At 43.7% G+C, this 22,641-nt stretch overlaps 1 protein-coding gene and 2 non-coding genes across 3 annotated transcripts, besides 2 other annotated features; 1 reads left to right on the top strand and 2 right to left on the bottom strand.

Moving 5' to 3' along the window:
- Nucleotides 1-721: 721 nt before the first annotated feature.
- TECTB (tectorin beta) lies at nucleotides 722-22,360 on the bottom strand. The gene is made up of 11 exons (NM_058222.3): nucleotides 22,264-22,360; nucleotides 21,950-22,112; nucleotides 21,035-21,225; nucleotides 19,547-19,689; nucleotides 19,369-19,441; nucleotides 11,919-12,022; nucleotides 11,699-11,782; nucleotides 7,529-7,691; nucleotides 6,196-6,268; nucleotides 3,627-3,659; nucleotides 722-2,497 (listed from the first exon to the last, which is right to left on the bottom strand). The coding sequence occupies exons 2-11, from the start codon at nucleotides 22,023-22,025 to the stop codon at nucleotides 2,448-2,450; spliced, it is 990 nt and encodes a 329-aa protein (NP_478129.1). The 5' UTR covers nucleotides 22,026-22,112; nucleotides 22,264-22,360; the 3' UTR covers nucleotides 722-2,447.
- Nucleotides 3,095-3,389: an enhancer, noted in NCBI's record as "tiled region #2531; HepG2 Activating DNase matched - State 5:Enh". NCBI's record gives its function as "activates a minimal TATA promoter and a strong SV40 promoter by Sharpr-MPRA in HepG2 cells {active_cell/tissue: HepG2}" and the evidence as "EXISTENCE:reporter gene assay evidence [ECO:0000049][PMID:27701403]".
- On the bottom strand, nucleotides 6,070-6,148 carry MIR6715A (microRNA 6715a). Its single transcript, NR_106771.1, has one exon. It is a non-coding gene; the product is annotated as a microRNA 6715a (primary transcript).
- MIR6715B (microRNA 6715b) lies at nucleotides 6,072-6,148 on the top strand. Its single transcript, NR_106772.1, has one exon. It is a non-coding gene; the product is annotated as a microRNA 6715b (primary transcript).
- Nucleotides 16,729-17,357: an enhancer, noted in NCBI's record as "OCT4-NANOG hESC enhancer chr10:114048161-114048789 (GRCh37/hg19 assembly coordinates)". NCBI's record gives its function as "activates a minimal SCP1, AML or CMV promoter by ChIP-STARR-seq in naive H9 embryonic stem cells {active_cell/tissue: H9 hESC(naive)}" and the evidence as "EXISTENCE:reporter gene assay evidence [ECO:0000049][PMID:30033119]".
- Nucleotides 22,361-22,641: the final 281 nt, after the last annotated feature.

Raw genomic sequence — 22,641 nt, 5'->3', positions numbered from 1 at the left:
GTGTTTAGAACTACTGAGAATTTACAAGAGATTGTTTTGAGAGTACCTTGTCTTATTTTCTCAAAGAAGAAGTTATGAGACAAGAAGGGTAATCAAACATCATGAGGTTGTTAGTTAATGTCAAGTCAAAACACATCCAGTCACTGGTGAGAGACATTCGGGCTCTATAGGCAGGGATGACCCAAAAGACCTTTTCCCCAAAATGTTAATCATACAGATTGGCTTTACCTCCTTGCATCAGAAACCCAATACTGGGAGTTTTTTAAATGTAAAGGTAGGATAGAATAATTAGAAGTCTGTGGCAAGCCGGGTGCAGTGGCTCATGCCTGTAATTCCAGCACTTTGGGAGGCTGAGGCAGGTAGATCACGAGATCAGGAGATTGAGACCATCCTGGCTAACATGGTGAAACCCCATCTCTACTAAAAATACAAAAAATTAGCTGGGTGTGGTGGCGGGCACCTGTAGTCCCAGCTACTTGGGAGGCTGAGACAGGAGAATGGTGTGAACCTGGGAGGCAGAGCTTGCAGTGAGCTGAGATCACGCCACTGCACTCCAGCCTGGGTGGTGACAGAGCGAGACTCCATCTCAAAAAAAAAAAAAAAAAAAAAAAGTCTGTGGCATATATGCGAGTCTACGAAGCTCTAGTTGTAGAAACCCCTGGGAGAATTGGGGAATTAGCTGTCAACATGATATATTAACACTGTAAACTGTAGTCATAGGTTATTTATTTTAAGGCATTTTATTTATTCCATAGCGCCAGGTAGAGATACAAGATCATAAAACACAATGATGAAATACAGCAAAACTAATACAACATTGGTTTATTCTGACAGCAAAGGATTTGAACATGGCTATGAGTATGCTATTTAAGAGTTTTCTACTAGAACCAATAAAATATGTCTTCTGTTTTTCCTGACTATAAAAACTCTGAATTTACAGAAAGAAGAGATCCTAAACTCGTTGGAACTCCAGCTTAGAGACCAAGTCTAGACCAAATTGAGTCATTTTACTTTAGCCTATTACTAAACAAACATACACTTCATGTATCCGGAGATTTCATAACTAGTTTAATCTCTGAGTTCACTAACACAAGTTGTAAAAGAATCATCAAACTGCAAATTGCAAAACTTCTCAAATACCTTAAATACAGAGAGACAAACCCATGTGTTGTTTTCAAATTATAAGCCTACTAATTAAGTCTTTACATAACTAAGGACTTAGAACTCTGCCTTTTCCTATCACAATCCAGCCAATTCTCTACCAGAATTGGTTCATTCAGTTTGTATTTTGTTGACAATGTAAATCATTTATATGGGCATATTCTGGATCACTGGGGTGGCCAGTTACCAAGATGTGCTACTGCATGCTTTCATTGGCTGCATTTGCATTTGTGTTTCTGATTTTGTGTTAGCTTCATTCTAATGATTGTAAGTGAATGAGACAAAAACAGATGTAAGCTTCGATGTTTAAGTAAAAGCTAAATGAGATCAGACCATTTCTTATAAATGAAAACTTCTTAGTAGAGCAAATAGAGAAAAAATAGCATTGAGTGTCACAAGGCATTTATCTGTAGGATTGGGTCACCAAACTCACAGCACTTGTGTCATTGGAGTCACTTTATAGTCATGTTTCCAGCAGCAGTTTCACTGGGGCAATGCCGTGTTATTAGGTTAAATTAATGTGAGTTGTATTCTTCTTGTGATTATTCTTTTTGTAAATATTCCTATTTAATTTGTAATTTTCTTTTGACTTTAGAAGTATACATCTGCTATAAAAACAAGGAGTTTCTACCTATATCATGTTTATATATTTAACAAATGGTATAATAAAAACAAATTAGGTCAGTACTAGGGGCTTTCAAGAATCTATTTCCTTTATATCATTAGGTTTGAGCAAAACTATTGTATTCCACTCTGAATCCCACATCATCTCCCATGTCATCAGTTGAAAGATTGGAACTCCCTGCGTGGGGGCTCAGCTCTGGTCCTTAAGTAGAATGACACTGCCTCAATGACAAAGCTCCTTTTTGGCAAAGTCAGCTATTAATGTGCGTTGTGCATTTAGTGTTGACTTTGTAGTTGCACCCTACATTCTCTTCAAAATGCTCAGCAGTACTTGGTTGGGTCTGCTAACCTTTTAAAGTTAAAATAGCTTTCAAAGGAATTTACTGCAGCCCTGACTTGAGTATGGAGAAAGGAGGCTCCTCCCCCAGCTGTAGAAGGACTGTGAGATCTAAGGGCCACGGGAAGTAGCCTAAGTTTTTCTTAGAAAGAAAAAGGCATCACCAAATTCACAGAAATTATTGGAGTGCATATTTGGCAAAGTGCTATTCTCTGCCCCCCAACAATGTGGTCTTCTGTTTGTTCTTTTTGGCAGCACAATAAATGTGTTTGTCATTCGCTGAGGACTATTGTGGGTGGAGGAGCGGCAGCTGCCTGGCTAACTCCTATAACACGGCACAAATCCCCAACATCATGATGAGGTGGTGGAGAACATCTGTGGACCAGAAGGGGAGGGAGATGGCACTCAGAGACAGTTCTACAAGGGTAAAGCCAACTCAACAGAAGAGTTAACTCAGGGGTCTTCATAAAATTCCACACATTTTAGACAAAGTCGATTTTGTTCATCCCTTGGGGATTCTGTAGCTCACATTTATCAGTACAAAGAACCTGACAGATAAACCTAGGTTGTGGACCTCTGACAAATAGAAATCAGTGATGGTGCATGGTACTCTAGGGCTTTCAGTGTAGAACTTAAAAACGATGAGAATCTAGGATTGGAATTTTAAAAGTTGATTTACATGATTCTCCTGTAATGATGAGAGCAAAATCTGTCTGTGAGATTATTAATAAGTGAACTGTCTTACCCCATCTCCTCATGTAGTTGCTTCCTTCTTATCATTCAGGTGAGATCTTGGGTCTTAGCTGAAATGTTTCTTCCTCTAAGGGGCTTCCCTGGCTGCTCTCTAAATCACGTCCCCCATTGAACCCCAAATACTCTACACATATTGGCAAGGGAAGGGGCCTTGTCTGTCTTGTTCACGGCAGTAGCCACAAGACCAGTTCCCAGTACAGTCATCATAATCATGGCTGACCCTGACTGGGTGTTTGCTGTTTGCTGGGCATTGTTCAGTGCCCTTAGCTGTAATTAAATATCTATACCACAGCCATGTAGATAGGGGCAATTATTAGCCCAATTTCACAGAGGAAACTAGGGTATGGAGGAGGGGTGAGGTCATTGCCCAAGGTCACTCAGTTAATAAAAGACAGAGCCATAACAAGAATTCAAATATTTGTTGAATGAACAGATCACTGAAAATCTTGTTCTGTAAATGTTGGAATCCAAGGGAAGCCATCTGGGGATGGCTTTACTAAGACTTGGGGAAGTGAGGTCCAGTTCTGCTTCATCCGATTTACCTTCGGTTCCTCCCTCTCTTCAGAGTTCAGGGGCTGGTCAGAGGGAGACCTCTTGATCTCGCCCCCTCTGCGCCACTCAGGTGTGCTTTAAAGTATAATTTTCAATCCTTAAAAGTTTTGCCGGGGCCAAAGTTAAGCTTCTCTTAAAACACTCTCTGCCTTTTAACAGCATAGCCCCACGAAATCCCAGAAGTGTCTCTTTTCCTTACCTGAGAAGCTATAGAGACTGGAAAATCCCCTGCCTGTAGTGAGTAAAGAGAGAATGCAGAAAGTTTAAGAAAAGATCATGGAAAGGAGAAGTCTCAGAGTGATGTTTCTACAACACAAAACCTGGCTGGGGGCTGCGGCTCACACTTGTAATCCCAGCACTTTGGGAGGCCCAGGTGGGCGGGTCACTTGAGGTTGGGAGCTCGAAACCAGCTTGGGCAACATGATGAAACCCTGTCTCTACCAAAAATACAAAAATGAACCAGATGTGGTGGCACGTGCCTGTAATCCCAGCTACTCAGGAGGCTGAGTCAGGAGAATTGCTTGAAGCTGAGATCACGTCATTGCACTCCAACCTGGGCGACACGGTCTCAAAAAAATAAATATAAATAAATAAATAAAACACAAAACCTGACCACAATCCTCCCCTGATTAAACCATCAGGTGCTCCATTGCCTTTCAGACAGTTTATACTGGGGGTTTACAAAGTTTCATCTCACAACGCTTTCTCTCCAAAGCAGGGGTTGGTAAGCTTTCTGAAAAGAAAAAAGTAAATAGTACATTTTGTCAGCTTTGCAGGCCATCCCATCTCTGCTACCACAAATCCACCTGTAGTTGCAGTGCACTGCTGTAGACAATATCTACATGAACGAGTGTTGCTGTGTTCTAATAAAACTTTCTTTAAAGGCACTGAAATTTGAATTTCATATAATTTTTTTTTTTTTTTTGAGACAGAGTTTCACTCTTGTTGCCCAGGCTAGAGTGTAGTAGCGTGATCTCTGCTCACTGCAACCTCTGCCTCCCAGGTTCAAGTGATTCTCTGGCCTCAGCCTCCCAAGTACTGGGACTACAAGTGTGCACCACCACTCCCGGATAATTTTTGTATTCTAGTAGGGACAGGGCCAGGCTGGTCTCGAACTCCTGACCTCAGGTGATCTGCCCGCCTTGGCCTCCCAAAGTGCTGGAATTAGAGGCATGAGCCACCATGCCTGGCCCTGAATTTCACGTAATTTCTACATGTCACGAAATATTGTTGTTTTGATTCTTTTTTTGAACCACATAAAAACGTGAAAACTGTTCTTAATTCCCAGGCCACAAAACCAGGTGGCACCTGGGCCTTGGCCCTTGGCCATAGCTTGGTGACTGTCCTCTAAGATAGAGCCGCTACAGCTTCCCGCCTTCCCACAGGTTTTGCCCACCCTTCATGTCACACTATCCTTCAGGTCTCACTTGGAGATTGTCAGCAGAGCTCTTCTGCAAGCCCTGTACTAGGTTGAATCCCTTTGCTCCATTCAGGATGAATATCCCTTATCCAAAATGCTTGGGACCAGAAGTGTTTCAGATTTCAGATTTTTTTTTGGATTTTGGAATCTTTGCATTATACTAGTTGAGCATCCCTAACTGGAAAACCTGGAATCTGAAATCTAAAATGCTACAATGAGCATTTCCTGTGAGCATGACCTTTGAGCATCATGTGGGTGCTCAAAAAGTTTCAGATTTGGGAGCATTCGGATTTTGGATTTTCACATTAGTGATGATCAACTGTGCAACCATGGCACCAGCCCACTGTCACCCTCCTTAACAGTAATTTCTCTTTCCCTTAGTGTCTAACATCTCTCTCCTTGCTAGACAGTAAATCCCTTGAGGACAGGGCCTGCTTGGGTCACATTTATTTCTGAAATCCTAGTGCCCTGCCAGGCCAGGCAGTGCTGGATACTCAGTAAAGGTTTTTTGACTTGCACATGACATTCTCATGACATCTCATTTTTCCTTCCTTCCTTCCTTCCTTCTTTCTTTTCTTTTCTTTTTTCTTTCTCTTTCTTTCTTTCTTTCTTTCTTTCTTTCTTTCTTTCTTTTCTTTCTTTCTTTCTTTCTTTCTTTCTTTCTTTCTTTCTTTCTTTCTTTATTTCTTTCTGTCTGTCTGTCTGTCTCTCTTTCTTTCTTCTTTTTCTTTCTTTCTTTTTTTTTTTTTTGAGACGGAGTTTCGCTCTTGTTGCCCAGGCTGGAGTACAATGGCGCGATCTCAGCTCACTGCAACCTCTGCCTCCCAGATTCAAGTGATTCTCCTGCCTTAGCCTCCCGAGTAGTTGGGATTACAGGCGTGCCCCACCAAGCCCAGGTAATTTTGTATTTTTAGTAGAGGTGGGGTTTCACCATGTTGGTCAGGCTGGTCTCAAACTCCTGACCTCAAGTGATCTGCCCACCTCGGCCTCCCAAAGTGCTGGGATTACAGGCGTGAGCCACCGAGCCCGGCCCCATGACATCTCATTTTCTATTATTATTGTTCACTGCATGCTCTGTTTGGAAGCTCAGCACTTCCTGATTCTTTGGGGGTATTTGAATTTAGGGTGCAGTTAGAACTTTCAGAGTAGATAACAAACCTCAACTCCTTCGTTTGGCTTGAGCTGTTCCCCACCCCTGGCTGGAAGACTCCAGGAGCAGGTGAAGGTTGTGCCCACAGGCACGACTGGTTTGGCAATTCAGTAAAAATGCTCAAACCGGCTGTGCCTGTGGACGCAGCCCAGCGTGAACTCAACCGTTTGGAAAACAGAGGAAAACAGAGACGCTTACTCCGCAGGGAGAGCTCCACGACCAGGACTCCCCCGGTCTGGTCTCGCAGGAGGCGCTTCCGTTTATCGCAGGTCTGAAGACCCAGAGAGGCAGACAGGAGAGAAGCGGGGAAGGTGGGATGATGCGTGAGCAAAGGGGAGAAAAGAGAAAGAAAAGATATTTTAAAAAGGTCACAAATGGGGTGGAGTCACAATTCCCCAGTCAACAGAGATGAGTTACCTTTTTAAAAAATAACCCAGAAGACACACTGTTCATCCCTTCTCCAACTTGAATACAAAGAGAAAGCTTTACTTTGTTAACTCTTCAAGCCAGAGGGAATCCTTCTGGAAGAGGTCATTGAGTGTGGAAGGGATTGATCCCATTTCCTTTGATAAGGCTTCTACTTACCACTCTCACCACAATAATTAGAGAAGTGGACACTTGCAATTGTATTCTGGTTCATTTTCTTTTCTTTCTTTTTAAAAATATGGCATTGATACTTATCCTTTGATCAACTGTACAGTGTCTCTCCCCTCCTCTCCCTGGCTCTGCACTCTCTGGTTTCTTTCCCTTTTGCTGTTTGTGCTCATAAAGAACCATTTTCTGGCCAAATGAAACAACAGCAATAGAGATTATGACCTTATTTTTGTTGGTTACTATAGGCTATGTGGATAGCAGCCTCTTTGGAAACACCGAGGTCTCCAGTTGAAAGAGACCAGAAAGGAGAACAGTTTGAGATTTGGCATGTCTAAGTGTCTAAGTGGTGGTTCTCAGGCTTGAGTGAGCACCGGCATGACTGCTGGCTTGTTAAAGCACAGCCTGCCCAGGCCTTCCTCTCACGTGGTCAAATCAGCCATGATCCAGTGTCGGGAATTTCTGCAGCATCTCTCTGAAGTCACAGAGGTGAACCCTCGGGCTGTTCAGTCAAGACTAAAAACACCCACCTTTTGAGTTATTTCCACGGCCTGTCCCTGCCACCTAGACCTTGAATTTCCCTTGCCCTTTTCACTTCTTCCAAGTATTTCCAAGTCTGTTATCACTTTCATTTACCTACACTGCCCTCTGATGAGGGAAGGGCCATCATTACTTAACACACTTTGCTTAAGGATGAGAAAGCAGGTCCCAGCAGGTTAGGCGACACATGCCAGACCATGTGGGTTGTTGGAGGCAGGGCAGATAGGGCCCTGAGCATCTGCCCTCACGAGCATCTGCCCTTATACTCAGTGCCATTTCCTCCAGATGTCCTCAGCACACAGCTGCCCTGGCCTGGTTATGATCTCCCCACTCAAACTCCAGCTCCTCCAATACTGGCACCCTTTAGGTAACATTGTCCTTCTGGAGAGAGGCAGCTCACCACTGGGCAGGAGAGTTTCTCACTGTCGCAGATGAACGTCTCACAGTGTAACCACACCTTGGAGAGTTTGGGGATGTTCTGGAACCGGAAAGCATTGAATTGGAAGGTTGCCCTGTGATCTCTCCCATTCTCATGCACGAGGACGGTTTCATCCGTGGGGCAGCTGAGGCAGATGGGGAAAGAAGAGTGAACTGTCATCTCCTTGAACTCCAGCAAGAGCTGCTGAGCGATTTACACACAAGGCTCCCGAGGTGGTTATATGACCTCTAACCTTCCCAGGCATTTTGATTAGCAGCACCTCACTTGATCTTCACAACTGTGAGGTCAAGTTGATGAGCTAGGAGATGGGTATTACTGTCCTCATTCTATAGACAAGGTACGATGGGAGGGGAGTGACTTATAAGAGTCACACTTTTAGTAAGTTACACCTGTGTCCCAAAGAAAGAAAATCCCTAGGAGATAAGGCCCTCCGAGGACTGGAATATGTCCAGCCCTTGAGGGACATACAAAGTAAGGACAATGGCACCAGGTGCAGCATTGCCCCTGCTGCCACAGCTGCCTAAGCTCAAGTCACACCCAACACATTTCTGTGTGTGAACTGTGAGGTTTTGCATTGAAAATTTGTATTTATGGTATATTATTTAAATTATATATATCTACATAGTTACTTTTGTAAAAATGTGGTCACATTTTTAATATAAGCACAGAAATAATGACTGAAGGATACCGTCTAAATGTTAACACAGGCTGATACAAAGGGATAAAATTATGGGCATTTTTGGTTTTCTTCTTTGTATTTTTATGTATTCTTCCAAATTCTCTATAATGAGAATACAATATTTGTATGATATTCCAACGTCTCAAAGGTAATAATTCAGTTTAAAAAATGACACAGATGGGCATTTATTTAAGCTAGTGGTTCTCGCTTGGTCCACTTTGTGCCCCAGGGGACATTTGGCACTGTGATTGTCCAGGCTGGGGGAAGTGCTGCTGGTATCTAGTGAGTGGGCGGAGACCAGGGCTGCTGCTGAACGTCCTACAGTGCACAGCACAGCCCCCACAGTGGAGAATGGTCCCACCCCAAATGTCAAGGTGCCAACATTGAGAAACCCTAGTTTCAGCAAACATACTTTTTCATTTAACAAAGACTGATGACCTAAGTGCCGTTCCTTTAACTAGGTGTTGGAAACAGACGCAACCATTCTTGGGACTGTACAGAGAAGCCCACACTATTGTGGGGGTTTGTTATCTGCAGGTAGCACGGGGTAGCAGGGTCTGTCGCTCTGCAGGAAAAGGTCTATGTTTCGAAAGCGTCAGACCACTGAATAGCACCATAGCAGGCCCCAGATTAATGCAACTCTGAAGCATCTTTCTTCTTGTATGGTAAACTCGGCACACACGCCAGAGAGCGGTCCAGTTACCCCAGGGAACCTTCATGATGTTCTCTACCCCACCCCTTTTCCCTCAGAAACAGACAACGGGGGGCCAAGCTAAAGGCAGGCACTAAGGAAGTCAAGTGTGAGAGTGAGGGAGTGAAGTGAGGGAATGCTGTACCTTTGTATCTGGACCAGGGGTCAGAGCCGGGTCTGTGTGTGGTGGGCTCTGAACAGTGATGAAACTGTGGCATTTTCCAAGTTGTGAAACAAGACTTCTGTAGGATCATTTTGTCAATAAACACGAGATCCTCGTATGAACTCAAGATGGGAGTTCTTAAAATAGCTCTTTGCAGCCAGAGTGCCCCAGGCATGGTCAGCCAGTGGAAAATAATGTAAGCAGAGCTTTGTCAGGGGGTGGGGAGGAGGCAAAAAATAGGCAGATCTAGATGCCTTGGCACTGCTGCTTCTTGGCACCAGCTGCAGCACCCACACTTCAGTGGCAGCTGCCTCTAGATGGTGGAAGCCCACAGGAGGCTTTTATGCCCTCTCTGCATGAGCCTCCTTTCCCATGTCAGATTGCTCTTTGAGATAAGTATGCTGCTTTTGGGGCATCCATGTGTACAGGGAAATTCCTTATGATATATCTCCTGCCATCTCTCCAGGAACTTTTGCAAACTGGGTTTTTTTTTTCCAAAGGGGCCCAGTGTTGTGAGCAAAAATCATCTGGAGATTGTGGGAGTGGACTTTTCCATTCTCCCCTTTGGCACTGAACTTTGTGCATGTATCTCCAACTTTGAGGTGCCATGTCAACTAGGAAGAATGTAGAAATGGGTCGGGATGTCTTACATCTGGCTGTGTTGAAATGCAGATTCCGTGGGTTTCCCCAGAGTCCTTCTGATCTGGTAGGTTTACAGTACACCTGCATACGTAATAGGCACCCTACACAGTTTGTGTGTACACTAGAGCTTGAGGACAATTGTGCAGACCACCCAAAGCCACAGGCATCCCTTTTTCAGCCATGTTGCACATCTGCCAGATGGGAACAACGGCACTAGAACTCCCTGCAGAGAGATGATTCCAGGGGTAGCAGAAGCCTTTGCCTAGTGTGACCATTGCCTGAGAGAGGTTCCCAGTGCCTGATAGCAATTTCTGGTCCCTGCAGGTCAATACGTTATTTCAGAATTCCTGGAGTCATTTGATTGCACCATTGCTAACAGAGGCTGAATGAATTGAATCATTCAATGGCAGATGTGAGGTAAACACCCAGATTAAGCTGCCATCTCTACAGGAGGCTTTGCTGGGCTGCACAGGTGTGCCTCGGCCAGCCTGTCCTGTCCAGGCCACTCAGGAGGTAACACTGACTGAGTCTGAATCCCAGGCCTTCTCCTTACTAGCTCCATATCTTGGGCACATTTCTGGACCTGTGCCTCAGTTTTCTCCTCTATAAAATAATGATTATTATACTGTCTACTTTAGAGAGGGTTTAATGACATTTAGATAAATTAATATTTGTAAAACACCTATCTAGAACAATGTTTGGTATATTGTAAGAGCTGTATAAGTGTTTGCTAAATAAAAATAGAGGTCCAAAATAGCTCCACTTTTGTTATCCAATTATGTTTATCCTTGACATTAATTTTTCCTTGGCCTGATGGGTTCTGAGAATAACACAGGCACATTGGTCTGTTACATGCTTTGTTTAGAGAATGATCTCTTCTTTGTTTACTGCTAATTATGTGTATGATGTCCACATCTCTTGTCTAGCCCTGTCTCTCCTCTAATTTCCAATAGTACAATTCTAAGTACTTCTGGACAATCATCATTTGAAGCTTAACATGTCTGTTAGTGAACTCAGCGAGAATCCATATTTCCTTATCCAAAAACCTCCTTCTCCAACAGCCAAATCCAGACACTCTTCCTCAGCTTTGTAGTCCACAGATTTAAGAACACAAAGCCATCTTTTTCCATTACTCCCCAGATTTCTTGCGCTGTCCTTTCCTCCACCTCCTATCTGATTAGTTCCTACATTTTCTCATTCCTGCAGAAGCATCTCCCTACTTTTTATTACCTTGTTCCATTCACTTGGCTACAATAGCAGTTCATGTCTTATCACCCTTGCACAATAGCTGCCAGGGCCTCTAATCTGGTTTTTCTCCCTTCCATGCACGTTTCTAAACCATCCTGTGTATGACTTCCAGCATTGCCTTTCTAGGGCGCACTTCTAGTACTACTTTAGTGCTTTACTCCAAATTGTAAAAGCTCCCGGTTATCTACTTAATTAGTAATAAAAACAATGATCTTATTTAAAATGGTTGGACTATCTAGCAAGTACCATCTGCTAAGCTTTTGATATCGATTATTTAATTTAGTCATCATCACCGTGGTTCTGTTGTCAGACTAATTGGATTTGAATTCAGCCTGCACACTTCCTCTTGCACACATACACACATGCACACACACGCATGCGCACACACACATTTAATATGAGACCTTACCCTCTCTTGTGCCTCAGTATTCACATCTGTAAAATGGGGATGATAGTAAAACTAACTTTCTTGTTGTACGGCTTAAAGGAGTTAATATAAGGTAAAGCTCTCAGAACAGTATCTGGCCCCTAGAATGCACTATGTCCTGTTTCTTAGTATTTGTTCTTTGCCTGGAACCACAGATGGTGTCACTGCTGTAACTCCAGCAGGCTTCACCTCTTCCTCCCAAGCTTTCCCAAGCCAGAGCAAAGTAGCCCGATAAATGCCTGGTTCCACTGTTCAGCCCTGTCTCTAGATAGTGTACCTACCCCTTGTTGATCAGCTGCCACTGCAAGGGATACATGAAGTCAGCCGAGGGGGTGGCCCAACAGCTGTTCAAGACCACTTTAAACCTGGAAATAAAACAAAATGGCATCACTTTGAAACAGAGAATCTTATGCCTACAAACATCTGATGATTAAAAAGTATGTCAGCTAGTCTTTTTTTTCTTTGCATTTAAACATATAAACTTGGAGGAAATGTACTTACCTAATGCTTAACCCTTTGGCTTCCACTCCTGCAAACAGATCTGAACCGATTTCGGATGCCTCCAGGACAAAGGGAGCTTCTTTCTTGATGGAGAACTTGGCATTCTTTGGAAGGAAATTGACACTGGGCATTATGAACTCTCAGATTGAGCAGCTAGGTCTACCAGGAGCAGATGAATTGGGATGGGGTGGGGATGAGAATCAACCCAAAGACATAAGCAGGTGAGACCATAGAGTGATCCTCCAAGACCAGAGAAATTCTAAGTCTTAAGACACTATGCCATCTTAGAAGGGATGAGGACATCATATAATCACGTATTCTAGATTTGCTCATTATAGTGAGACACACACTGTATGTCTCATTTATGCCAATGAGATTTCACTAATGGAAAACAAGTGAAATTCAGGGATATTAAGGCACTGTGTTATACTGAATCGCCCAAGGACACAGGGACTGAGCACATACAACACCCGCCTCTGCCCTCACTCGTTGCTACTTTTTGCCTGAGCAGATTTCAGCGTGGGTTGGGAAGTGTAGGATCAGATTCCCAGATTCCCAGTACAATCATCAACAACAATAACAACCACTACCACAATGTATTGATCAACTACTATGTGTTGGGCACTGACGATGGACTCTGTCAGGATTTTGTTAGCGAACAAAGCAAAGATATCTGCCTTCAATGATCTGGCATATTCTAGCAGGGGAGACAAACAGTAAGTAAGTAAATGATATAATATGTAACTATAGACCATAGGACATTATCTAGAAAAGCTATAAAACATGCAGAGTGGGATAAGGAAGATCAGGAGTGTGAGGAAGGGCAGGTTGCAGTTTTAAATACAGTGGTTGGGGAGGCCTCACTGAGGATGTGACATTTGAGCAAGATTTGGAGGAAGTGAGGAGGGGGGCCATGTAGCTATCCAGGGAAGAATGCTTGAGTCAGGATAAAGGCCCTGGGGCAGGACTGTGGCTGGCAGCACAGCAAGGAGGCCAGTGTGGCTGGAGCAAGTAAGTGAGGCAGGAGGGTGGAGAGTGGGGAGCGGGGTGGGGGTGAGGTTAGATAAGTTGTGGGGGCTGATCAAGAAGACTGGGGCTGGCTGGGCGCTGTGGCTCACACTTGTAGTCTCAGCGCTTTGGGAGGCTGAGGCAGGCAGATCACTTGAGGCCACAAGTTCGAGACTAGCCTGGCCAACATGACGAAACCCTGTCCCTGTTAAAAATACAAAAATTAGCTGGGTGTGGTGGCAGGCATCTGTAGTCCCTGTAATCCCAGCTACTCTGGAGGCTGAGGCAGGAAGATCTCTTGAACCTGGGAGGTGGAGGTTGCCATGAGCCAAGATTACACCATTGCACTCCAGCCTGGGTGACAGAGTGAGACTCTGTCAAAAACAAAAAACAAAAAACCTCAAAAACTAAACACTGGGTCTTACTCTCTGAGTGCAGTGGGGCAGCAAGGAGTCAACACCACGATGTGAGCACAGTAACAGCAGGTTCTGATCACTGGCCTGGCATGTGGGATATTTCCCTGCCATTCTCATCAGGACATGCTGGGTGAGCTGTTAGGAATAACAGCAGTGTTTCTGTTTGACTTACTCAAAGGAGGCTGATTTCTCCATTCTCTGAGTCTTGAGTTCATTCAACCCTAGTAACAATCTTGAACTGCTCTGTGGATTAGCTTTCTTTCTTTCTTTTTTTTTTTTTTTGAGATGGAGTCTTGCTCTGTCACCCAGGCTGGAGTGCAGTGGCGCGATCTCGGCTCATTGTGAACTCTGCCTCCCGGGTTCACGCCATTCTTCTGCCTCAGCATCCCGAGTAGCTGCGACTACAGGTGCCTGCCACCACGCCCGGCTAATTTTTTGTATTTTTAGTAGAGACAGGGTTTCACCGTGTTAGCCAGGATGGTCTCGATCTCCTGACCTCGTGATCTGCCCGCCTCGGCCTCCCAAAGTGCTGGGATTACAGGCGTGAGCCACTGCGCCCAGCCTGTGGATTAGATTTCAGAGACAAAAGCATTACCATGGAAGGGCAAGGATCCTGGGCTAACCCGAGCTTCCACCGCTAACTTGGGACACACTATAGGCAAGTCAGCCTTTCAGGCCTCAGCTTCTTCCTATGCAAAATGGACATAACCTTTGTGACTTTATGTAATAGGAGAATAAAGCTTAGACCAGGTTACTGTTTGAAAGATTGAGTTTCATAGACCTGGAGATTTGCAGAACTGCAATAGGTAGACAGTGGCAGGAGGAACGGATTTCAGCAAGGATGTCTAGTTAAAATGGACTTTATAGTATTCCATGGTGTATATGTACCACATTTTCTTTATCCAGTCTGTCACTGATGGGCATTTGGGTTGATTCCATGGCTTTGCTATTGTGAATAGTGTTGCAATGAACATATGCATGCATGTGTCTTTGTAATAGAATGATTTATATTCCTTTGGGTTGCATGTATCTTTGTAATAGAATGATATACATTCTTTTGGGTATATACCCAGTAATGGGATTGCTGGGTCAAATGGTCTTTCTGGTCGTTTGCAAAGATGGATGGAGTTGGAAGCCATTATCCTCAGCACACTAACAGAGGAACAGTGCATGGTCTCACTTATAAGTGGGAGCTGAACAATGAGAACATATGGACACAGGGAGGGGAACAACACACACTGGGGCCTGTTGGTGGGTGGGGTGGGGGAGGGAGAGCATTTGGAAAAATAGCTAATGCATGCTGGGCTCAATACCTGGGTGATGGGTTGCTAGGTGTAGCAAACCACCATGACATATGTTTACCAGTGTAACAAACTTGCACATCCTGCACATGTACCCCAGAACTTAAAATAAAAATAACAAATAAAGATAAAATAAAGTGGACTTTACCCCTCACATGTCAAACACACAGGGACTTTGTTGAGACGACTCAGAATCTCTTTTGTTTCCTAGTACCTCTGACATTATTTTACTGATGGCAAGTCCAGCAAGGGCTGCCTGATTCAGTCACCTAGAAGTCAGTTGCTTCCTCCCATTTGTCAGCCCCTGCACCATTTAAATGACTGCAATAATTGGATAATAATGTTCTTAATCATAAGGGATCTACTGGCTTAAAATGCAGGTTGAAGTGGCAGATTTACAGTGATTTTTAATGTTCCTTGTTATGTTCTGAGATTTGTCATATTTTGAGAGGCCATTTTCAAATATAGGAACTTACCTGGGGACCCCGATGTAGTCCCCAAACCTGTCAGAGGTATCGCTCCCAACTCTTTCTGCCAGGGACCAGCCAGCAGAATGTTAGAATATTGGAATAATACCTCTCCTCATGGAAGAACCTGCCTGATTCTGTTACAAAGTGAAGAACAGAGCTGACACCGTTAATTCAGTTTCTGAAATAGAACACTAATGATTGAGTTCTCTATATTCTCACCCAACAGCTCAGGGAAGGCTTGGAATAATTTTTCCCCTACTTTCTCTATAATGTGAAAATTAGAAACCTATTCCAGATCCAGTAATCTTCCTTTATCCACAGGAGATATGTTTCAAGACCCCCAGTGGATGCCTGAAACTGCAGATAGTACCAAACCCTATATATATTACTTTTATTTTGATCCGATAACATGGATGGCTACTGAGTGACTGACAGACAGGTAGTGTCTACAGTGTGGATATTCTGGACAAGGGGATGATTTATATCCCAGGAAGTACAGAGTGAGCGGTGCAAGATTTCATCATGCTACTCAGAACAGGTGTGCAATTTAAAACTTAAGAATTGTTTATTTCTAGAATTTTCCATTTAATATTTTTGGACCACAGTTTACCAAGGGTAACTGAAACCATGGAAAGCAAAACTGTGGGTAAGAGGGGACCCACAGTTGTGAACGGTTGAGTCACAACTAGCCAGTGTCACAAGTTAAGGATGAGTACACCTGGCTTAACAATAGTTCATGTGGAAACATCTCGGAGTTGCTCCATGTGAAGTAGCGGTGAAAAAAACTGCCCTAAAGTTATTTTCCTAGGACACATTCCTAGAGTCTTCCAGAACCTAGAAGGTCACCTCTGACCCGTGATGGCCTGCACGGGTCTGATAAAGTCTAGAATATAACACTTCAACTTTGGGCTTCATTTTTTAATAGGGATACTGAGCAACTGGATCATATTCAGAGAAGAGTGACTAGGATGGTGAATGAACCACCAACAGAGACAAGATGTTTAGCTTGGAGAAGGTGGACATATTTGAAGTACTGTCAGCCAGATAATTATATGATATTATTTCAGAAGACAGAACTGGGACACATGTGCGAGAGTTCAGGGTGTCAGATATCAGAGCTGATCTAAAATGGGAAGGCCCAAATATCATTGTCTTTGGAAGAGGCAGGGAGGCCACCCCACAGCAATATTGCAGAAGGGTTTTGGGCTTTGGGTGGAAAGTCAAGGTTTACCACCTCGGAGGCTTGTTTTGACTCCTGGAGTCTATGATTTTGGCCTCTATTGCTTGCATTTTTTCCGTCTTAAGCTTTTTCATTTCTATCTGTCTAAAAGGAATGATCAGTACTGTTTTGATTGAATAAAAGTCAATATAATCCAACACTGACATCGATGTTCAGCCTTATAAAGTTAACAATGCTAGAAGCCCTCAGAGTTTCCACTTTAAATAGAGTCAAAGTCTACAATGATGAGAATGGCTACTTTCTTGGGTACTTAACTTGTACCAGGCACTGTGCTAAGTGCTTCCTAAAGATTATTTCATTTAATTCTATAACAAACCTATGGGGTAAGTGCTATTATTATCCCTGCTAACAAATGCAGAGATAGAAGCCCAGAGAGGTTGGTTAACTAACTTGCCCAAAGTCACACAACTAGTAAATGATGGAACAAGGCTTCAAACTAGTGGTCTGTTGAGAAGGCCCATTTTCTTAACCACAGCACTAGGGTATTTCCGTAAGCCAACTACCTTCCTTATTTTGTATTGAGGGTCAAAATAACTTTTCACTAGGAATACCAACCATGGGATATTGTCAAGAGTGAGTGGGAGGGGGATGGAGAGAAAAGAAAAGAGGAAGCCTGCTGAGTAGAACTGGTGCTTTTAGAGCCCAGCATTTGAAGCTCTCAGGATCCTAAGCAATTAGCAGTGCATTGATTCCATTGTGTTATCTAGGGCAGAGCTCTCTTTCTGGTAATTTGATGGAAATATATGCAGGGAGCAGTTGTTGCTTCAGAAACACATAAGAATGCTCTGAAAGTGGAAGAAGGGAGGAGAAAAAAATACCAACCACATGGGTCAGGCATAGGGAACTGAGCCCATGGCGGGAATATTAATCAGTACGAAAGTGTCAGGATGGCAGAGTCCCTTCTTTGCTGAGGCCCGTTTGTCCTGGAAAGGTCTTGGTGGGCCTCAGGGGACGCTTGACCCTTAATTCTATACTTGTTGAAGGGAGTGTCCCGTTATCTGTCTGTCCAGCCCAGAGGATGGCCTGGGGGATGCTGAGGACATGTCTCTTATTATTATTATTTTTTTTTAAGAAAATAAGCTCATTCCAGTTCTAAGACTTGATGTTTTGTTTATGCCTGAAGCTCAGCTCTACGCAGCTGATGGTGGGCAATGATTTTTGACAATCCTGGTGTCTCCGTGTTGCCAACTATTGTAAAACCTTCATGGGATCATATCTATAATTTTATCTGGTTAAAATAACAATTATTCACTTCCAGACAGGGATTCAATAGCAAAGGCAGCCTGTCATCAGGGAGTCCCCTGAGACTGTTGTCAGTGCGCAGAAGCCAATTTTCCTCTCCGGACGGCTTTCATCACTGACTGTAGTGGTTTCACCACCTTATCATCACCCTGGTGGCCCATGCTGTATTTAGCCCCCGATTATAGGTCAAGGGCTACGTGGATTCCCTTTCTCGGTACTTAACGACTAGTGGTGTGTGGCTAGGGGCAGATCTAGATTTTGTGGGATCTTGAAACTTTTACAATGTGGAGAGCCCTCTTTAATGAAAAGAATCACATTTTTCAATACAGAATTAGACACAAGGCCTTGAAAGGGCCTTGAAATGAGTTTCATTCCCTTCGCAGTAAGTAAAGTGACCATATCTAGGAGATCTGTGTTCCAGACTGGCCACCGCTCTGAACTACCTGTGGGCTCTCAGGCTAATCCTTCCTCCCTCTGGGCTTCTGGTCCTCATCTGTACAACAGACTAGGTTATTCTAGGATCCCTTACAGCTCTCGCCTTCTGAGTTCAGCAGGGCTGATAGCTTCCAGGCAGCAGGTTAAGCAAGCTTAAAGAGTTCAAAGTTAATGGAGTTAGAGGTAGTACGATGTTTCTCCTTTGAGAAGTGAATGGGTTGGACGTGATGCCTTTCCAACAGGTCCTCTGGCTCTAATGTTCTATGCAAAGGTTTGTATTTCTGCCCACATCTTCCTTTAGCCTGCTGGGACAGTCTCTGTGTGTATGGGTCCTCAATGCAAGCTGCAGGTTTGAAGAAACAAAGCACCCCTTCTAAAGAGGAGAGCAGCTGGGCAAATGGCCATTGCATATTTAGTTTCTCTGGAGCACTTTATTTTGAGAGAGACCAAAGTGTGCCTTTAACTTCTATGTCAACATGGGCAGCCTGCCCAAATTAAGCAAGGAGGAAATGCTACTTGAAAGGCTTTAGAGACCAAAGAATTAGGCAGTGGAGGCCGACCCCAATCCTTCTCTTTAGCCCTGTCCCAGTCAGGAACCTCAATACATTGGGCCAAATATTTTAAGAGCTAGATCTTAAATATAAATCTCTGGAGGGGGTTGTAGTGAAAACTAATCTTGACTAAGAGTCAGACATTGGCTGTCTTATTGTCTGTTGACCTTGCCTCAGTTTTCTCATCTGTAAAATGGGAAGGTTGGTCTTATATCTTTGCGGAAGATTGGTTTTTTTGTTTTTATTTTTGTTTTTTGAGATGGAGTTTCACTCTTGTTTCTCAGGCTGGAGTGCAGTGGTGTGATCTTGGCTCACTGCAACCTCCGCCTCCCAGATTCAAGCAATTCTTCTGCTGCAGCCTCCCAAGTAGCTGGGACTACAGGCATGTGCCACCACATCTGGCTAATTTTTGTATTTTTTTAGTGGAGACGAGATTTCACCATGTTAGCTAGGCTGGTCTCAAACTCCTGACCTCAGATGATCTGCCTGCCTCGGTCTCCCAAAGTGCTGGGATTACAGGTGTGAACTACCACGCCTGGCCAGAAGGTTGGTATTATAGCTTATATCTTATACCTTTCAGCTCTTCTATCCAGTCTATGAATCTGACTTTCTGTGACACTTAGTTTTTAAAGAGGTTTAAAGCTAAACCAAAGTTCATGTTTCAACTTGAATTTAAGAATGGGGCTCTGCACAGAGCTTGGGGAAGACTGAATCCCGAGGAAGCATCCCACCATCTCCTAGAAAGGAAAGGCCACAGGGAAGTAATGGGAACCTGGAGACCACTTACAGTGTAGAAGTTGAGAGACAGTTGGCTCTCAAATGTGCCCATGCTCCCGTTCTTCACGTGAACAGTGGCCACTCTGAAAAGGGGAGAGAATTTTGCATAAGGACTGAAACACGCTGATTGATAGGACCTGCAGTACACACATGAGGCAGCCAGCCCTCCATGCCGCACAGCAACTTACCTCTGGTCAAAGGCAGCCTGGTTCACCAAGTAGGTGGAGTGGTAGGTGCAGGAGAAGGAGTAGTTGACAGGCTGGTTTTTTACAATCACTGTGGTGTCATTGGAAACGATGTGACTGTAGAAGTGATAGATAGGTGGCTTGTACTGGACAAAGAAAGGAGACAGTCAGGATGAATCTGTTTCCCCGCGATGGGAATGAGGGTTCTGGGAAAAGTGCAAGAAGATGGCTCAAAAACAAGTCCAGTGGGGAGACAGAAATGTCTGCCACTGACGGTGGCATCCACTCTTCTTGTCTGCGGGTGAGCTGATAATTTTGTAAAGGGTTCCTTAGTTTATTCAACTAAGAGTGTTTAAAAATGATCTAGGTTGATGTCGTATGCTTAAAAATCTCCATGTACCCATTGGGCTTCTGACCAAAAAGAACTGGCTCAAGAATCTCTGTTTCCCAAAGTCAACTCTTCATCCATTTCTCCTGTCCAAATATTCTAAATGAATGCTTCACCCATCTCCAATTTCTAGAGTGTTCCCTTCTGGTTCTTTGCTCTTTCCTTCTTCTGACTATAAGCACGATTTCTGAGACTCTTTCGCCTGACTTGTTGGGCTCTAAAATCACAGAATATTAGAGCTGGAGGGGATCTTGAACATCCACTTGAAAAGTGACTGACCTGAGACCACACAGCTGATTTCTAGTTCACCAGGATATACTCAAAGACATGATGTCTTGTTAATCATGCTCATGACTCTTCCCATTAAATCACTGAATCCTTGTGAGGCCTTTAGAAAGAGGAGCTGGCCCTGGAAGCTCTTTGCTCTCATGCTCTGAGATGGATAGATGCACAGCCTTCTGGCAGGTAGGGCAGTAGGAATGCTAGATCTTGGTGGGGAGGTTGGGAGACCTAGCCTCCCTTCCTGATTCCATCCCTACAGGCTCTGTGGCCCTGAATGAGTGACTTTATTGGGAAGTCTCAGACTTCTCGTCTGTCATATGATACTTGGTAAGAGGGCGTCTGTTTCCTAATAATTATCTTATGATATCCCATCCTGGGCACTTCACAAGACTGCGTTAGAAGTTGTATTATACATTGGTCACTCCCTAAACTGCTCTTCCAAATGCTCTTTGTCACCACTTTGAAGTCTCAGGCAGAGAATGGCTCATCCATCCACCCATCCAATCTAGGAAGGATGGCGGCTTGTGAGCACAGGCTCAGAACTTGAAGGTGGGAAATGTACTTTGTTCTACTAGAAGGTAGCTTCACTGGCTTTGGCAACAAATTAGGAGGATAAGAGTCAAGCCAAAAGAGTTATCTAAACTAGGCAGAAGAGAATATTTTAAATAACACCAACATTCCAGGATATTTGGGAATCAGGACTGACCTTTAAAAGGAAATGGGTAAATTCTGAATCCTTTCAAGGACAGATGGCAGACATCTCATTCTTGGGTCCAGTTGCCTTACCTTAAACAACTCTGCACTGTGTGGCCTGGTCTTACCTCAGACTGGGTTCCACAATAGGACTTGTTTTTAGGTGATAAATCTGGGATCACAAATTGGTAGTAACCTCCTTCGTGGACCCCATTGTAACACAGCCCTCCGAGGGCCAGCTGATGAACTTCCCATCCATAGGGACACTCGGGGATTTTGGTGATGATGGTTTTGGGATAGCAAAACACAAGAATGACATCTGGAAAGAGCACACATATAGTTTAAAATCAGTTAGGGTAATCATGCTAACCTACGTAACGAACAGTGGATTCCAGCTACACCTGAGCATGCAAAAGCAGTTGGTTAAAAACACCTTCCCTGCTATTCCTCACCAGCTGTGACAAAAGTTTTCCCCAAACTTCAGTCATTGAAGAGTCACTCTCACAGTTTTTGCTGCATTTATTTAATGACTGCACCACGTTTAACATGGAATTAAAATTAGTCCATTTGGAACAAGGAATGTATCTGTGAAACCACAGGTAGGATGTATTAGACATACATAAATATATATTAAAATCTCCATAACAATGAGCACATAATTTAAACATTTTAAATGTCAATTTCATGCATAATATTGTGAAATACTGATTTAGGGCACAAGATAGAAATTCAGTAGTTGAATGGAAAAAAAAGTGGAGATGTTTTATATATATATATAATGGGATGTGGGGAGAGAGTGTGTAAGTAAGAGAGTGAAATAGAGCAAGCATTCTCTAATTAAAAAAAAAGTCCGAGTTTATCCAATACATCTTTGCTCCATTTGGGAAAAGTCTGATTGGTATTGGAGGGGGTGCTTAAGTACTTTCCTGCTTGGCTACATCATTACATTTTTATAACAAGTTAAGCACAGAAGTGCTGAGCATTGTAAAAGGAAACTTCAGGAAACTTTTCGTCCCAGGAAAATGGACTTGGCGAGGACATACCTGCTTTATTTGGAGCACACGATTTTGCAGAGGCTTCTGCAAAGATGGCCAACAAGACAAAGGCCTTCGTCACCATTGCTTCTCAGAACCTGGTCTCTGCCAGGTATCCAAACCAAGCTGGCCAAATGTTTACGGTCCTTCCAGGGCCTGAGCCTCGATCATTCTAAGTCAGAAACATGAATGAAAAGTTAAAATCAAGGGAAGAACAAAGCCGCACATACAGTCTTGGGGAAATTTTCAAGGGAGATAAACGATGTTGTGTCGTTTCTAATTGTTTCCTGTTAGCGCTGAGAGGCAAAAAGTGGGGCTCATACCGTTGGAAGCGTCAATGACACATGGAGTTGTTCATGTTCCCGACTGTTTCATCCTCTCCGGACTGTAGAGGCTGGCTGCTGGATGCTCCCCAAATCTGCTGCCCCAGTCCTAGTTTGACTTTATATAGCCCGAGGATGTAAAAGAAACCAGCTCCAGATAAGTCACAATGAGCATGCATTATCCACTGTGTGGGGAATAAAAAGGGGGGCTAGCACAGTAATCCGATGGGAAGCTCAGTTACTTGAATCTAATTTCTTTTGCTTTACAGAGTTGGAAAAACTTTTTTTTAACTGCTTCAACCAAGATTGGGAGGAAAAGTTGATTTTTTCCCCTTTTGTACAGAAAATAACTCTGAATGGAGGCAAACTATTTCTGTA

The sequence above is a fragment of the Homo sapiens genome, chromosome 10 (assembly GCF_000001405.40).
Source record: "Homo sapiens chromosome 10, GRCh38.p14 Primary Assembly".
NCBI classification, from domain to species: domain Eukaryota; kingdom Metazoa; phylum Chordata; class Mammalia; order Primates; family Hominidae; genus Homo; species Homo sapiens.
Note: the sequence above shows the minus strand (reverse complement) of the source record. Positions and strands in the feature narration are given on the sequence as shown.

Bases quoted from the DNA above. Each gene is read 5' to 3' on its own strand.
- TECTB (NM_058222.3), bottom strand. From the start codon at position 22,025: ATGGTGACGAAGGCCTTTGTCTTGTTGGCCATCTTTGCAGAAGCCTCT. The intron at 21,226-21,949 runs GTATGTCCTCGC...TGCTCTTTCCAG, and splicing joins GTGTGCTCCAAATAAAGCAG to ATGTCATTCTTGTGTTTTGC. The intron at 19,442-19,546 runs GTAAGTTGCTGT...TCCCCTTTTCAG, and splicing joins CAGGCTGCCTTTGACCAGAG to AGTGGCCACTGTTCACGTGA.